Source organism: Homo sapiens, chromosome 6 (genome assembly GCF_000001405.40).
Source record: "Homo sapiens chromosome 6, GRCh38.p14 Primary Assembly".
Lineage (NCBI taxonomy): Eukaryota > Metazoa > Chordata > Mammalia > Primates > Hominidae > Homo > Homo sapiens.
In genome coordinates, this window is record NC_000006.12 from 100,937,335 (window position 1) to 100,952,942 (window position 15,608).

At 39.7% G+C, this 15,608-nt stretch overlaps 1 long non-coding RNA gene across 3 annotated transcripts in view, besides 1 other annotated feature; it reads left to right on the forward strand.

Annotated features, from left to right (window-relative positions):
* The window catches only part of LOC107984041 (uncharacterized), a 367,164-nt gene that overhangs the window by 55,878 nt on the left and 295,678 nt on the right, over nt 1-15,608 (forward strand). The window lies entirely within an intron of this gene.
* Nucleotides 14,573-15,093: an enhancer, noted in NCBI's record as "NANOG hESC enhancer chr6:101399783-101400303 (GRCh37/hg19 assembly coordinates)". NCBI's record gives its function as "activates a minimal SCP1, AML or CMV promoter by ChIP-STARR-seq in primed H9 embryonic stem cells {active_cell/tissue: H9 hESC(primed)}" and the evidence as "EXISTENCE:reporter gene assay evidence [ECO:0000049][PMID:30033119]".

Genomic DNA, 15,608 nt, shown 5'->3' on the forward strand with positions numbered 1-15,608 from the left:
GTGAATCTGGGAGGCGGAGCTTGCAGTGAGCCGAGATCGCGCCACTGCACTCCAGCTTGGGTGACAGATAGAAGACTCCGTCTCAAAAAAAAAAAAAAAAGATTTGTTTCTGTGTTTATGTATCTATTACTCTTATGACACAAATAAAATAAAATTTTTTTTTTTAAAAGAAATTTCTGTCAGTCTGGAGAAAGATAAACATCGTTATCTTCAGAATATTTGTCATGTTGTAGTTCTATATCCACATCCTTAAAATATCTGATTATCTTCAGATTACCCATTGTCTAATCATAACAGAAGGCTTATTACTATTTTTTAAAAAAAGAATACTAGATTCATTTGCTCAATTAGGTTAGGGTTTTGTGAACATTTGTACTTTCTATCCAACCTATGGGTCTTAGTTTAAATTTTCCATCTGAATTGCCCTGGAGTGTTACCATGAGGGACAGTTATGAAAGTTCAAAAATAAAATTTAATAGATCTTTATATTTTGAAACTTCAAATAATAGTAGTGGGGATTTATTTTCAAGTGCCTTCTGTTAGGATATTTACTTTTACGTTGGCTTCTTTTGCAATTTATCTTTTTTCATAGTGACTATTCAGTGCATTTACTTCTCGTAGCAGCACTCGTCTAGACATACTTAAAACTAATTGCCTGAGTCCGGAGGTGAACAGTTTTTCTGTTCTATTTGTCCTTGTTCCAGCGAATGAATGTTAGATTGTTGTTTTTTAAGATAGTCCCTAGTCAGCAGGTTAATATGCTTAGGATAGTACTGATCCAAGTGTTTCCTTGGACTAATATTAAAGTAGAATGAATTTTCGAAGACTATTTTTGTCATTAAGAGCTGAAGCAATTTACATAAAGGAAGAAAATAACACAGGATTGTAAAATTCAAATAACGAATCATATGTGTACATAGTTATTTTCTCTCTAATCCTGAATTCCATTCCTTATTGTTTCCTGATAGTGCTTATGATGATTTATGTTTGTACTTATATTTTGGGCTAAGGCATTTAAATTAAATCACCAAAGAAAGGAGAAAGAATATTTGAAGACCATTACCTTCATATCTCAAATCTCAAATTATTCTACTGCTATAAGTCAAATTCACTCAAATCTTTGAGTATCAAAAGGCTACTCTATGTCCAGTTTAATGCAAAGTATTATGGGCAAAACAAAAAAAAATAGTAGTTCCTGTCCTTGGAATGTGAGCTATCTAGCTGTGGAGACAGCATTCAGAGAAATAAACAAATGCAAGATAATAATTTGCAATATAATACCTATATTTCAGTGTTGAAAATGTACATATTCTAACAATGCCGAAATGACAAATATCAAGATGAATCAAAATTGTACAACTTGGTGATGGGCAAAGCATTTTTATCTCAGGCTTAAAGAGATTATAAGGTTTAGATTAATTATTGAGAAGGAAATGTGCATCCTGGAGAAAGCAAGAATTTGGACATGTGGAAAGAGAATGACTTCTTACTTGCTGTTTAGAGTACATGGTGGTGCAAACACAGTTGTGTAATTAGCAGCTTTTGTGTGTGTGTGTTGAAAACTCATGGGCCCTACTTTTGTATGATATGCTGAAATGATGGTGATGGGTGATTGTAAGTTCCCTTATGTTTCCTTTCTGTTATCCCTGGTCCTTCAATAAAGATATGTTACAAATTTCCGTTTCCTCTTTAGCTACAGAGCTGGGATGATGCGCTATGGGGAATTAAAGAGAAGTATCTATCTAATCTTTATGACAGACAATCAATGGGCAGGATTTGTTCTTCTGAGGCCAGATGGTGGTATTGGAAGCAGCCACTGAACAAAGACAGTTATGGTCAGTGGTAGGACAATTGGTGGAGGGTTGTTAGCACAAAGGTAACAGTGCCAGGCTGAGGAAGAAGCTGATGCTAGAACATGAGAGCACATGGAAAGGAGTACTTGGTGACATTATCAGAAATCACTCAGGCACAGTTTGAAAGGGAGCTGCTTTCTAACAATAAATCCAGCAGAGCCTCATTCCAACGTATTTTGGGCCACATTTGTGAACATCATTTATTATTCTGCAGGTTTCCTTTGTATCCCTGCTTGCTTTTTTTTCCCACAACAAATAGGAAAGCTATTAGGTGTCTCAGGTCCCAGTGATATTCTGAGGAGTGGTTAGTATTTTGAATTTTGGGGATAGAAAATATTAACTAGAATTAATATTTGAATTAATACATTAGTTAACTAATATATTCTTAAACATGAGAATAGTAGCAAGGGCTCAGATGCCCATCTACACAATGAGAAGATTAGACAAAACAACCTCTAATTTTCTTTCTTATAAAAATCTTAGCCTACCCTCACTTAGCCATATATGTTTTCCATCCATCCTCCAATGCTAAGGCAAGATCTTTGATTCACTATATCTGTCTGCTCTGTATTCCCAAACTCAACTTTAAAAACGTATTCACAGCCAGGTGTGGTGTCTCATGCCTGTAATCCCAGCACTTTGGGAGGCCAAGGTGGGCAGATCACTTGAGCTCAGGAGTTGGTGACCAGCCTGAGCAACATGGTGAAACCCTGTCTCTACAAAAAATACAAAAATTAGCTGGGCGTGGTGGTGTCTGCTGATAGTCCCAGCTACTGGGGAGGCTGAGCGGGGCAGATCACTTGAACCTGGGAAGCAGAGGTTGCAGTAAGCTGAGATTGTGCCACTGCACTCTAGCCTGGGTGACAGAGTGAGACCCTGTCATAAAAAAAAAGTGTATTCACATGAAGCTGGAAATTAAGTCACTTAACTCAGTTCTCTGGGAGAACATGCTGATTTGAGCTTGCTATTCTTAATCTTTGTGTTAAAATGATTAATACAAATCAAGATTTACTTTCTGTTTTTTTACTTTTTTTTATTACACTTGAAGTTCCAGGGTACATGTGCACAACGTGCAGGTTTGTTACAAAGGTATACATGTGCCATGTTGGTTTGCTGCATTCATCAACTCGACATTTACAGTAGGTATTTCTGCTAATGCTATCCCTCCTCCAGCCAGCCCCGGTGTGTGATGTTCCCTGCCCTGTGTCCATATGTTCTTATTGTTCAACTCCCACTTATGAGTGAGAATATGCAGTGTTTGGTTTTCTGTTCTTGTGATAGTTTGCTGAGAATGATGGTTTCCAGCTTCATCCATGTCCCTGCAAAGGACATGAACTCATCCTTTTTTATGGCTGCATAGTATTCTATGGTGTATATGTGCCACATTTTCTTAATCCAGTCTATGATTGATGGACATTTGGGTTAGGTTATAAGTCTTTGCTATTGTGAATAGCGCTGCAATAAACATACGTATGCATGTGTCTTTATCGTAGAATGATTTATAATCCTTTGGGTATATGCTCAGTAATGGGATTGCTGGGTCAAATGTATTTCTAGTTCTAGATCCTTGAGGAATTGCCACGTTGTCTTCCAAAATGGTTGAAGTAGTTTACACTTCCACCAACAGTATAAAAGCATTCCTATTTCTCCACATCTTCTCCAGCATCTGTTGTTTTTTGACCTTTTAATGATCGCCATTGTAACTGGCATAAGATGGTATCTCATTGTGGTTTTGATTTTCATATCTCTAGTGATGAATGATGATGAACATTTCTGCATATGTCTGTTGGCTGCATAGATGTCTTCTTTTGAGAAGTGTTTGTTCGTATCCTTTGCCCGCTTTTAGATGGGGTTGTGTTTTTCTCTTGCAAATTCGTTTAAGTTCTTTGTATTTTCTGGATTTTAGTCATTTGTCAGATGGGTAGATTGCAAAAATTTTATTCCATTCTGTAGGTTGCCTGTTCACTCTGATGATAGTTTCTTTTGCTGTGCGGAAGCTCTTTACTTAGATCCCATTTGTCTATTTTAGCTTTTGTTGCCATTGCTTTCGATGTTTTAGTCATGAAGTCTTTGCCCAGGCCTATGTCCTGAATGGTATTGCATAGGCTTTCTTCTAGGGTTTTTATGGTGTTAGGTCTTACATTTAAGTCTTTAATCTATCTTGAGTTAATTTTTGTATACGATGTAAGGAAGGGATCCAGTTTCAGCTTTCTACGTATGGCTAGCCAGTTTTCCCAGCACCATTTGTTAAATAGGGAATCCTTTCCCTATTGCTTGTTTTTGTCAGGTTTGTCAAAGATCAGATGGTTGTAAATGTGTGGTGTTATTTCTGAGGTCTCTGTTCTTTTCCATTGGTCTATATATCTGTTTTGGTACCAGTACCATGCTGTTTTGGTTACTGTAGAATTGTAGTGTAGTTTGAAGTCAGGTAGTGTGATGCCTCCAGCTTTGTTCTTTTTACTTAGGATTGTCTTGGCTATGTGGCCTCTTTTTTGGTTTCATTTGAATTTTAAAGTAGTTTTTTGCAATTCTGTGAAGAAAGTCAGTGGTAGTTTGATGGGGATAGCATTGAATCTGCGAATTACTTTGGACAGTATGGCCATTTTCATGATATTGATTCTTCCTATCCATGAGCATGGAATGTTCTTCCATTTGTTTGTGTCCTCTTTTATTTTGTTGAGCAGTGGTTTGTAGTTCTCCTTGAAGAGGTCCTTGATGTCCCTTGTAAGTTGGATTCCTAGGTATTTTATTCTCTTTGTAGTAATTGTGATTGGAAGTTCACTCATGATTTGGCTCTCTCTTTGTCTATCATTGGTGTATTGGAATGTTTGTGATTTTTGCACATTGATTTTGTATCCTGAGACTTTGCTGAAGTTGCTTATCAGCTTAAGGAGATTCGAGGCTGAGATGATGGGGTTTTCTAAATATACAATCATGTCATCTGCAAACAGGGACAATTTGACTTCCTCTTTTCCTAATTGAATACCCTTTATTTCTTTCTGTTGCCTGATTGCCCTAGCCAGAACTTCCAACACTATATTGAATAGGAGTGGTGAGAGAGGGCATCCTTGTCTTGTGCCCGTTTTCAAAGGGAATGGTTCCGGTTTTTGTCCATTCAGTATGACATTGGCTGTGGGTTAGTCATAAATAGCTCTTATTATTTTGAGATATGTTCCATCAATACCTAGTTTATTGAGAGTTTTTAGCATGAAGGGCTGTTGAATTTTGTCGATGGCCTTTTCTGCATCTATTAAGATAATCATGTGGTTTTTCTTGTTGGTTCTGTTTATGCGATGAATTATATTTATTGATTTGCATATGTTGAGCCAGCCTTGCATCCCAAGGATGAAGCCAACTTGATTGTGGTGGACAAGCTTTTTGAGGTGCTGCTGGATTTGGTTTGCCAGTATTTTATTGAGGATTTTCACATCGATGTTCATCAGGGATATTGGCCTAAAATTCTCTTTTTTGTGTGTGTGTCTCTACCAGGCTTTGGTATCAGGATGATGCTGGCCTCATAAAATGAGTTAGGGAGGATTCCCTCTTTTTCTATTGATTGGAATACTTTCAGAAGGAATGGTACCAGCTCATTTTGTAGCTCTGGTAGAATTCAGCTGTGAATCTGTCTGGTCCTGGACTTTTTTTGGTTGGTAGGCTATTAATTATTGCTTCAGTTTCAGAACCTGTTATTGGTCTATTCAGAGATTCAACTTCTTCCTGGTTTAGTCTTGGGAGGGTGTATGTGTCCAGGAATTTATCCATTTCTTCTATAGTTTCTAGTTTATTTGCATATGGGTATTTATAGTATTCTCAGAAGATTTACAGCTTAATTTCATTTTTCCCTGTGAAAGTTGCTTTACTACTTAAAATAAATGAAACATTTATTTTCTCACATAAAAGAAATGTTTGTTTCTACAATGTTTATTTTTATAATGTTTTTTATAAAAAGCATAGTAAAATAAAATATGGAGACAAAAACTATCTACAATTTAAAAACATTATCCAGAATCTCATGTTTTTTAAGTAACAAGAGGTAACTTCTTTTTTACATTTCAGTCTTGATAGTTTCTTATGCTGAGGTAGATAGAGTATATTAACATCCTTAAAGAAATATGATCATTTTACTCAATATTAAAACTGAAGCATTTTCTCTGGTTAGGCAGAAGTTTTGGTGGCTGCTGTGTAATGTGTCTGTGTACTACATTTTATAATTTTATACAATAATTTTCCTATTATTGTGCCTTTAGTTATTTCCATTCTCTGCTATCATAAAAAAACCTATAAAGAATATTTTTAAATACAGATATTTGACCACATATTTAATTATTTCCTTATTTTAGCTACACAAAAGGAAACTAAATGACCCAAAAGTATGAACATGTTTAAAACTCTAGGATGAATCATGTGAGATTTTTCTTCTAGAAGTTTTACCAGTTTATATTCCTACAAGAAAGTATGAGTGCATGTCCTCACATGTCCTTGGAAACACGGAACAAAGAATTTGTCATTTGATGGTGAAAATATTATTTTATTGTAATTGTAATCTGCATTTCTTTGGTTATAGTTTTATATGTTTTGCCTGTTTCTTAAAAGTTGGACTGCTTTTCTTTATTATTACATTTTAAGAGTTATTTATATATACTGAATATAAGTCCTTTATCAAATATGTGATTTGCAAGTGTTTTCCCAGTTTGTGGCTTTTCTTTTTATTCTTTTAATAGCACCTTTTGCAGAGGCTACTATTATACTATATTTGCTGCATTTGCATAACTTTAGTTAAAATTAAAAGGAGCCAGGGAGAGAGAGAATGAGAAAGAGAGAGAGAGAAAGAGGAAGAGAAGGAGGAAAGATAAAAAGAGAAAGAGAGAAGATAGGGAGGGAGACAGGGAGAGAGAGGGAAGGAGAGGTGAGGAGAGAAAAACCTATTCATTTATGTTGGGTTACGTGCTCATCTCTTGGCAGGTTAGGTGCTCATCAAAGACAGGGCACTTTGATATTTTCACCAGAAAGATACAAAATGGGTGCTCCTCAAAATAAACAAGAAAAGGGTAATGGTCGTGTAGTTTTATCTGATGAAAGTTATGGACTCTTTACTAGAAATGGTACAAATGCAATGCATAATGCATTTTGCATACAGATTTTTAAGAACATTTACAAACATGGTCAGGATGAGAACACTGGCTTGATAATTCTGAAAATACAACTCCATAGCCTATAATTTGCTTTATTATAATTGAGAAATCTGGCAGTATCCTAACCTTCATGATTCTGAATTCTTTAGGCTGTGTCTTCAAATGACAGTGTGCTTTTTATTTTTACTTGAAGACATCCTAAGACCTTCCAGGTTTCAGGTTCTTTGTAGGAGTTTGGTCAGCTTGGTGGGAAAAATTATAAAAATTTTAAGGAAAAGACACAAACCTCTTGGAATGCTGGGAGGTTTTGCAAAAGCTTTGGGAAAGGATTTGGCTGAAGGCAGCTGAATTCTCTCAGAGTAGGTAACAAGGAAGCATAAGGGAATTGATCTAGATAAGTTAGTTTACTTAGGCCTTGGAACAGGGCCTTTAATCATCTGCATGCAGGACTGCTCTCTGGGTGGGGGTGGGTGGTGGTGTGACCATGTTAATTACCCACAAGTGTGTTGACTCAAGGCTTTTGTCATTAAATCTGTACTGAATAAATGCCCGCAGGGCTGGCTTGTTGAGGCTGCAGCCATTGTGACTTTTTATGGCATCCTCCTCGATGTCTGTGAGCAGCCCAGTTCCCTAGCTGCATGGCCAGGCAAAAAACCTGTGTCTGCATACGTTTTTTCATCTGTCACTTGACCACTGGGTCAGACCTAGCAGGTGGTGCCCCGTGTGAGGAACGCTGCAACGGATCACAACGGAACCCTCAAAAATGAAGAAGAGACTGCGCAATCAGTAAATCAGTAAGCCATTGGTACTCACTCAGGATTTCCAAGTTCAAGGGAATTGTTCAGGCTAGGGTTTCATCATGGGACAACAGTTATCAGTTCAACAGCAACAGTATATAAAAGTATTGAAACAGCAGCTTAAAGCTAGTGGAGCCTCGGTTTTGCAGGCTCAACTAAGGGACCTAATGCAAACTTGTTTCCCATAACTAATGGTTCCTGGAAGAAGGTACGCTAGACCTAGAGCTCTGGAAACAAGTGGGGAGAAATCTTAAACAACATCATGCACAAGGGCAACAGGTCCCAGTAGCATCTCTAACGTTATGGGCTTTAGTTAGGGTGGATCTGGTCCCACTCTACACACAAGAGCCTAAAAAGGGAAGGGAGGAGGAACCATCAGCTACCTTACCACCTCCTCCTTCTCCCTCAGCCCTGCTGTTTCCGGGCAAAAGTACCAAAGAGAAAATGGAGGTTTTGCCAGAGCCCCCTCCTCCAATAAGTTAGAAAAAAGACAAGAGATATGCTGCAGCTATGGGACCCTGTCTTAGGCAAGTGGCATTAGAAGGGGAGCTCTTAGCCTGCCCAGTAATGCAAGATTGACAAGGCAATCAGGTACGTGAACCCATTTCTTTTTTTGAGACGGAGTCTTGCTCTGTTGCCCAGGCTGGAGTGCGGTGGCGTGATCTTGGCTCACTGCAAGCTCCGCCTCCTGGGTTCACGCCATTCTCCTGCCTCAGCCTCCCGAGTAGCTGGGACTACAGGCACCCGTCACCATGCCCGGCTAAGTTTTTTGTATTTTCAGTAGAGACAGGGTTTCACTGTGTTAGCCAGGATGGTCTCGATCTCCTGACCTCGTGATCTGACTGCCTCGGCCTCCCAAAGTGCTGGGATTACAGGCATGAGCCACCGCACCTGGCCAAACCTATTTCTTTTAACGCTTATAAAGAGCTAAGAAAGAGCATTACAGAAAACAGAGCTGCTAGCCCATTTATGAAAGGAATGATTATGCCATGGCAGACAACTTCCATATGACCCCATGGGACTGGTCAGTGCTAGCTAAAACAACTTTGGAGCCCAGCCAATACCTCCTTTGGAGGGCAGAATATGATGAGTTGTGTGAACAAGAAGCCAACCAGAATCAAGTGGCCGGGCAAGGCATAACAGCTGCTATGCTCCAGGGGAGGGGTCCCCATGCTGATGTACAACAACAACTAAATTTTCATTCCCAGGCCTATGCACAAGTGTCTTTGTGCTGTCTCACGGCTTTGGACTGAATTCCCAGAAGTGGAGTTCAGCAGTTTATAAATGTTTGACAAGGGCCTCAGAGCCAGTTGTTGAATTTATCAATCGGTTAACCCAGGCAATTAAGAGACAAATTAGTCATGCCAAGGCTGCTGATATCTTATTGTTGCAATTGGCTTATGAAAATGCTAATGTTGACTGCCAGCAAGTAATGCAGGCAATCAGAGGAAAGACAGCCACAGTTGGGGAACTTATATGAGCATGTCAACTGGTGAGGACTGAAACACACAAAGCCAAAATATTGGCTATGGCATTAAGACCTCCTAAAGTGAAAAGGGAGAGAAACCCAAATTGTTTCCTATGCAGAGAGCCAGGTCATATGAAGAGGGAATACACCAATAATAGAGACCAAGGTAACTCAAGGAAAGAACCCCCTTCTATATGCCCCCAATGTAAAAAGGGGAAACATTGGGCAAATCAATGCAGGTCCAAATTTAATAAAAACAGCAACCCGATAAGTAACCAGGTGGGAAACCTCATGAGGGGGCCGGCCCCAGGCCCTGCTTCAAACTGGGGCAATGCCAGTAGCTTTCCTCGATCAGATGGAAAGCCCACAGTCCTTCTCTCAGAGCAGCCACCACTGGCAGCACAGGACTGGACTTACTTTGCCCCAATGATTTAGTGCTAAGAGAAGGAGAAGACCCTAAAAGGGCTGCAACTGGTATCTGGAGCCCACTGCCTCCAGGAACAATGGGATTAGTCCTAGGGTGATCAAGCCTATCCAGTAAAGGAATTAATGTGTTCACTGGGGTAATTGATAGTGATTATCAAAGTGAAATATTAGTTGTGATGGAATGTAAAGGTCTGCATATTCTTCCCCCGGATCAAAGATAGCTCAGTTACTACTTTTACCATACTGGGTCCCCAATGCCCATGGAAGGGAATGGGGAAAGGGAAGTTTTGGAAGCACAGGAGCCATAGGAGTATATTGGAATCAATTAATCACTGATCATGATCACCTTAAAAATTGGAAATAAGAATTTTACTGGTTATTGGACACAGGAGCAGATATTTTGATTATTAGTGATCAAAACTGGCCAGAAGCTTGGCCTTGGGTCACTCAGAAACAAAAAATTGTCAGCACTGGAGAAGTGCACACAGCCAAGCAGAACACATGCCCCCTAACATGTTGCGATTTGGAGAGGAGAAAAACAGTTACACAACCTCTAATCATGCCCATCCCTGTTAATCTTTGGGGACAGGACCTATTAGCCCAATAGGGGGTCACTCTGCAGACCCCTTTCTAATAATGGCCACTGTTATTATCCCTCCCCTACCCCTGACATGGCTCTCTCAAGATCCAATTTGTGTAGAACCGTGGTCTTTAAAGGGAGCTAAATTACAAAGAGCCCATAAATTAGTTGAGGAGCAATTAAAAGCCAGCCATATAGAACCATCAAACAGCCCTTGGAATTTGCCCATTTTCATCATTCCCAAAAAGTCTGGTAAATGGAGACTTTTGCATGACTTACGTGCTATTAATGCTAATTTGCAACCTATGAGGCCCCTTCAACAGAGGCTCCCTTCCCCCATGGTAATTCCTCAAGATTGACCTATAATCATTATTGACTTAAAAGACTGCTTTTGTACTATTCCCCTTGCAGAACAGGACAGAGAAAAATTTGCATTTACAATACCAGCTATTAATAATGAAAGGCCAGCTTACTGATTTCATTGGAAAGCCCTGTCTCAAGGGATGCTAAACAGTCCTACCATGTGTCAATATCATGTAAATCAGGCTTTATTCCCCAGTAGAAAAGAATTTCCTAATTGTAAGATTATTCATTTCACAGATGATATTTTACTAGCAGCCCCAATGGAGCCAGTACTTTTAAGTTTATATGCCTCTGTTGTAAAGAATACACATTTAAGAGGTTTAATCATAGTACCTGAAAAAGTACAAATGTCCTCTCCTTGGAAATGTCTTGGGTACATACTAACTTCCCGGTCGGTAAGACCTCAAAAGTTAAATTAAATACTAGCAACTCACACACCTCAAATGATTATCAGAAATTACTAGGTGATATTAACTGGCTTCACCCCACCTTGGGCATACTACTGATAAGTTACAGAACCTGTTTTCTATCTTAAAAGGCAATGCTGCCCTAGACTCTCCTAGGTATTTAACTCTTGTAGCACAAAGGGAAATTGAGGAAGTAGAGCAAGCTATTTCTCAGAGGCAACTAGATTGCATAGATCAACGACATTCAGTTCAGTTGTTTGTTTTTCCCACTAAACATTCCCCTACAGGGTTAATAGGACAGATGGCCCCAGGGCTATGCTTCCTAGAATGGGATTTTTGCTCACATACCAGGACTAAAACACTCTCTCCCTATGTCCAGCTGGTTAGTAAAGTCATCTATTCAGGCCACAGGCGATGCAATCAGTTGCTAGGTTATGACCCTGATGTCATCAGAATTCCTTTGAGTATAAAGCAATTCGAAGCAGTATTGCCCTTTAGGCCTGCAAATAGTACTCTCTGATTACACAAGCCATATAGAGCATGCCCTTCCTGTTGATAAACTACCTCAGTTCTTATCTCATACTTCTGTGGTTTTGCCTACAAAAATACTTCACTCCCCCATACCTAAAGCTTTAATACTGTTTACTGATGGCTCTGGTATACACAGAAAAGCAGCTGTCTGGTAGAGATTGCATAATTCCCTCACTCATTCTGGATTTACTAGCACTCAGAGAGCTGAGGTTGGAGCCTTAATATTGGCCTTGGAAACTTTTTCCACTCAGCCCATCAATATTGTTAGTGACTTTGCTTACTCTGTTTATTACAGAACCTTGAGACAGCCTTCATTAAGTCCACTCTGGATCTCACCCTGTGTGCACTTTTTCTTCAACTTTAGCAATTGCTAGATCAACGTACACATCCTATTCTTATTACACATATTTGGGCCCACAGCTCACTGCCTGGCCCATTGGCTTATGGCAATGATCAAGCAGACCTACAGGTTATGACATCACAGCTTGACCAAGCCACCTAATTGCATCATTTTTTCCACCAAAACTGGAGAAACTTATCTAAACAATTTCAACTTACCCAGAGACTAGCTAAACAAATTATCCTGCAGTGCCCAGATTGCCAGCTCACAGGCACATCCCCTCCTTCAACAGGTGTTAATCCTGGGGGACTAGAACCTAATCAGTTATGGCAAACAGATGTTACACATGTCCCTGAATTTGGAAAACTTAGATATGTACATGTATCCATTGATACCAATTCCCACTTAATTAGTGCTCACCTGATATGTCATTAGACATCTTTTAACTTTTGCATTTATGGGGCGGCCCACAAAAATTAAAACTGATAATGGTCCGGCTTATGCCAGCTCACAAGTTCAACAACTTTGTCACACGTGGAACATCCAACATTCCACAGGCATCTCGTATAACCCCCAAGGACATGCCATAGTAGAACGTACCCAACCCACCCTTAAAAATATGCTCAGAAAACAAAAAAGTGGTAATGTGAGTAAGGACCCTGCAACACTATTAGCACAAGCCTTATTTACTCTTAATTTTTAAAATTTAGATGATAAATTTAAATCAGCTGTAGGAAAGCACTTTGCTAAAACCTCTCAAACATAAAACCTGCAGTTTTATGGAAAGATGCAAACAGTAATGTATGGTGTGGTCCAAATAAATTGTTAACGTGGGGAAGAGGATATGCTTGTGTTCGCACCCCCTCAGATCCTCTTTGGATTCCAGCATGATGCATCAAACCATACCATGGTGTGGCTAGGACCCCTTGCTTTGTCTGCAACCTGTACCTGCTACACTCTATTGGGCTCATCTCTTAGATCCGCCTTTCTTCCGCCCCGTCACCTGGGCAGACACCCCCTTCCCAGCCTCTAATAATGTAACTGCTTGGCTGGGAGGGATAGATTTACCCCCAGTTGGATCCATCATTAATGGCACACATTGGACTAAGGTGTCAGTAACACTACATATCACTCCACTATCCTCCCACTGTGTGTAAGTTATAAAAATTCTAACTGTTACTATGTACCTGCCCAAACATAATTATGGCTACATCATGGCAAAGGAAGTGCTTTAACAGTCTTAGTTTCAGGAGTCCTCAAACTGGGCAATGCAGTCAATGCTACTTTCCCAAACATTCCTTCCTGTGCTAAAGAACAAAGCCGGGAAAGCAATGGATTCCACTTTAGCTGGGAGGTGTCTCACAGGGTGCATGCCCATAGCCTCCAGCTAGGCAATTATAACGTCTTAGACTGGAGCCCCCACAGCCATTTGCAGGGCGATCGCACTGATGTCCGCATCTATTATGGCATCAATGACAGTTTCGTATCCATGTCCCATTCCCCTATAATTTGGGCCGATAGGGGGATGGGATATCCCAGACCCCAAGTAGAGTCCATGCCACCCCAAGACATTTTATGGCACCTGGGACTTCTTAGCACCCCCCCTTAACACCTGGGATGGGACATATCATAATTCCAGTCACAATTACACTATGACCTTTTTTCATAATCACACTTATCAGTGCCTGATTTGCACCACCCATCCGTACGTTTTCCTTGTGGGGACCAATATTTCCATTACACCCCAAAACTCCATGTTTGTGACCCAAGTTCAGGGACAGGCTTGGTATGCCTCTTGTATCACTAATTATAATATATCTAATTTAAATATTACTAGTGTCATGGTATTGAGGAGACAATCTGAGGCTTTCCTACCAGTCAATTTAACACGCTATTAGCAAGGTTCCTCTGCCCTTGCCACCTTAGAATGTGCCTTGTCCCAGGTCAGACACAAAAGATTCATAGTTACACTTATAGCCTTTATAGTCTCAGCCATAGTCATCCTAGCAACTGCCAGTGTTATTGTAGCATCTATTACGGAATCAGTACAAACAGCTACTTTTGTAGATAATTTGGTCAGAAATGTGTCTAATGAACTTCTCTTACAGTGGGGTATAGATCAAAAGATTCTCACATGTCTGCAAGCCCTCAAGGCTGCCTTGGAATATGTGGGGGAGCAACGAGATGCACTGGCCTTCCAACAGCAATTGAACTGTGACCAGGAGCTTAAGCACATCTGTGTCACCTCTCTACTTTGGAATCAATCAATACATAGTTGGGATGAGGTGAAACAATACCTCTGGGGAACCTTTCATGATAATTTAACAGCAGATGTAAAGTAACTTAAAACTAAAATTCTAGCATCCCTAAACGCCATAGATCTACATGCCCAACAAACAGGCATATGGAAGGGTGTGTGAGATCATCTCTCCTGGATAGACCCCTATTCCTGTGGGGGGATCACTCCTTGATTGGAGAAGAATGTTGCTAATTATACTCACGTTTGTCTTATGTTATTTGCTAATTCTGGCATGCAAAGTTGCAGTACGAGTTACAACCGCTGCACCTGACAAACCTGTTGTTTCACACATTTGCTCTCTTCAATCAACTAAACCTGATGCAAAAGACAGAAAAGGGGGAGATGTAGGAGTTCAGTCAGGGTTGTGTGGGAAAAGTTATAAAAATTATAAGGAAAAGACGCAAACCTTCTTGGAAGGCTGGGAGGTTTTGCAAAAGCTTTGGGTAAGGATTTGGCTGAAGGCAACTGAATTCTGTCAGAGTAGATAATAAGGAAGTGTAAGGAAATTGATCTAGATAAGTTAGTTTACTTGGGCCTCAGAACCTGGCCTTTAATCATCCATGTGCAGGACTGCTCTCTCTGGAAGGTGGGTGGGGGGTGACCATGTTAATTACCCACAAGTGTGTTAACTCAAGGCCTTTGTCATTAAATCTGTACTTCATAAAATGCCCGCAGTGCCGGCTTGTCGGCTTGTCGAGGCTGCAGCCGCTGTGACTCTTCACGGCATCCTCTTGGAAGTCTGTGAGTGGCCCTGTCCCCTAGCTACACGGCCAGGCAAAAAAACCTGTATCTGCATACATTTTTTCATCCATCACTCAACCAGGGTCTGCGAGTCAGACCCGGCAGTTCTTTAAAAAACATTTATAGGTATCACTGTTTAGTTTTATTTTTGATTCCATTAATTCTAAATTTGTACCATGTTATCTCTTTCATAAATCACATTCATATTCATTTTCTTCATTATTCTATGTGTGTTCCTCAAGTTTATCACTTGTTTCACTGATCAATTTTTTCTGTAATATTTCAATAATGTATTGCTTCTGTCCGTTGAATAGTATTGAATGAGTTATATTATTCAAATAATGATTTGAATAGTTCTTCAGTTTATCTTTTCACTCTTACTTAATAGTTGCTAATATCACTGAGATCCACTCTAAAACTACTAGTTTGGATCTCTGGATATTGCAGAGAAAGACTTGACACAAGCCAAATTTGAATATTTATTTACATACCTTAGGCTGTGCATATTGGTTTACAGCACTTCATCCTTATGTAACTGTAACTATATTGACCACCTCCTCTGAAGCTAGGACAAGGCTCAAAATCATATCTGGTTTTTCTTTCTATATAATATTTTTTTAAACCAGCTTCTCTCTAAATACAGTTATATCCCCAGCCAAAGGAAATTCCTC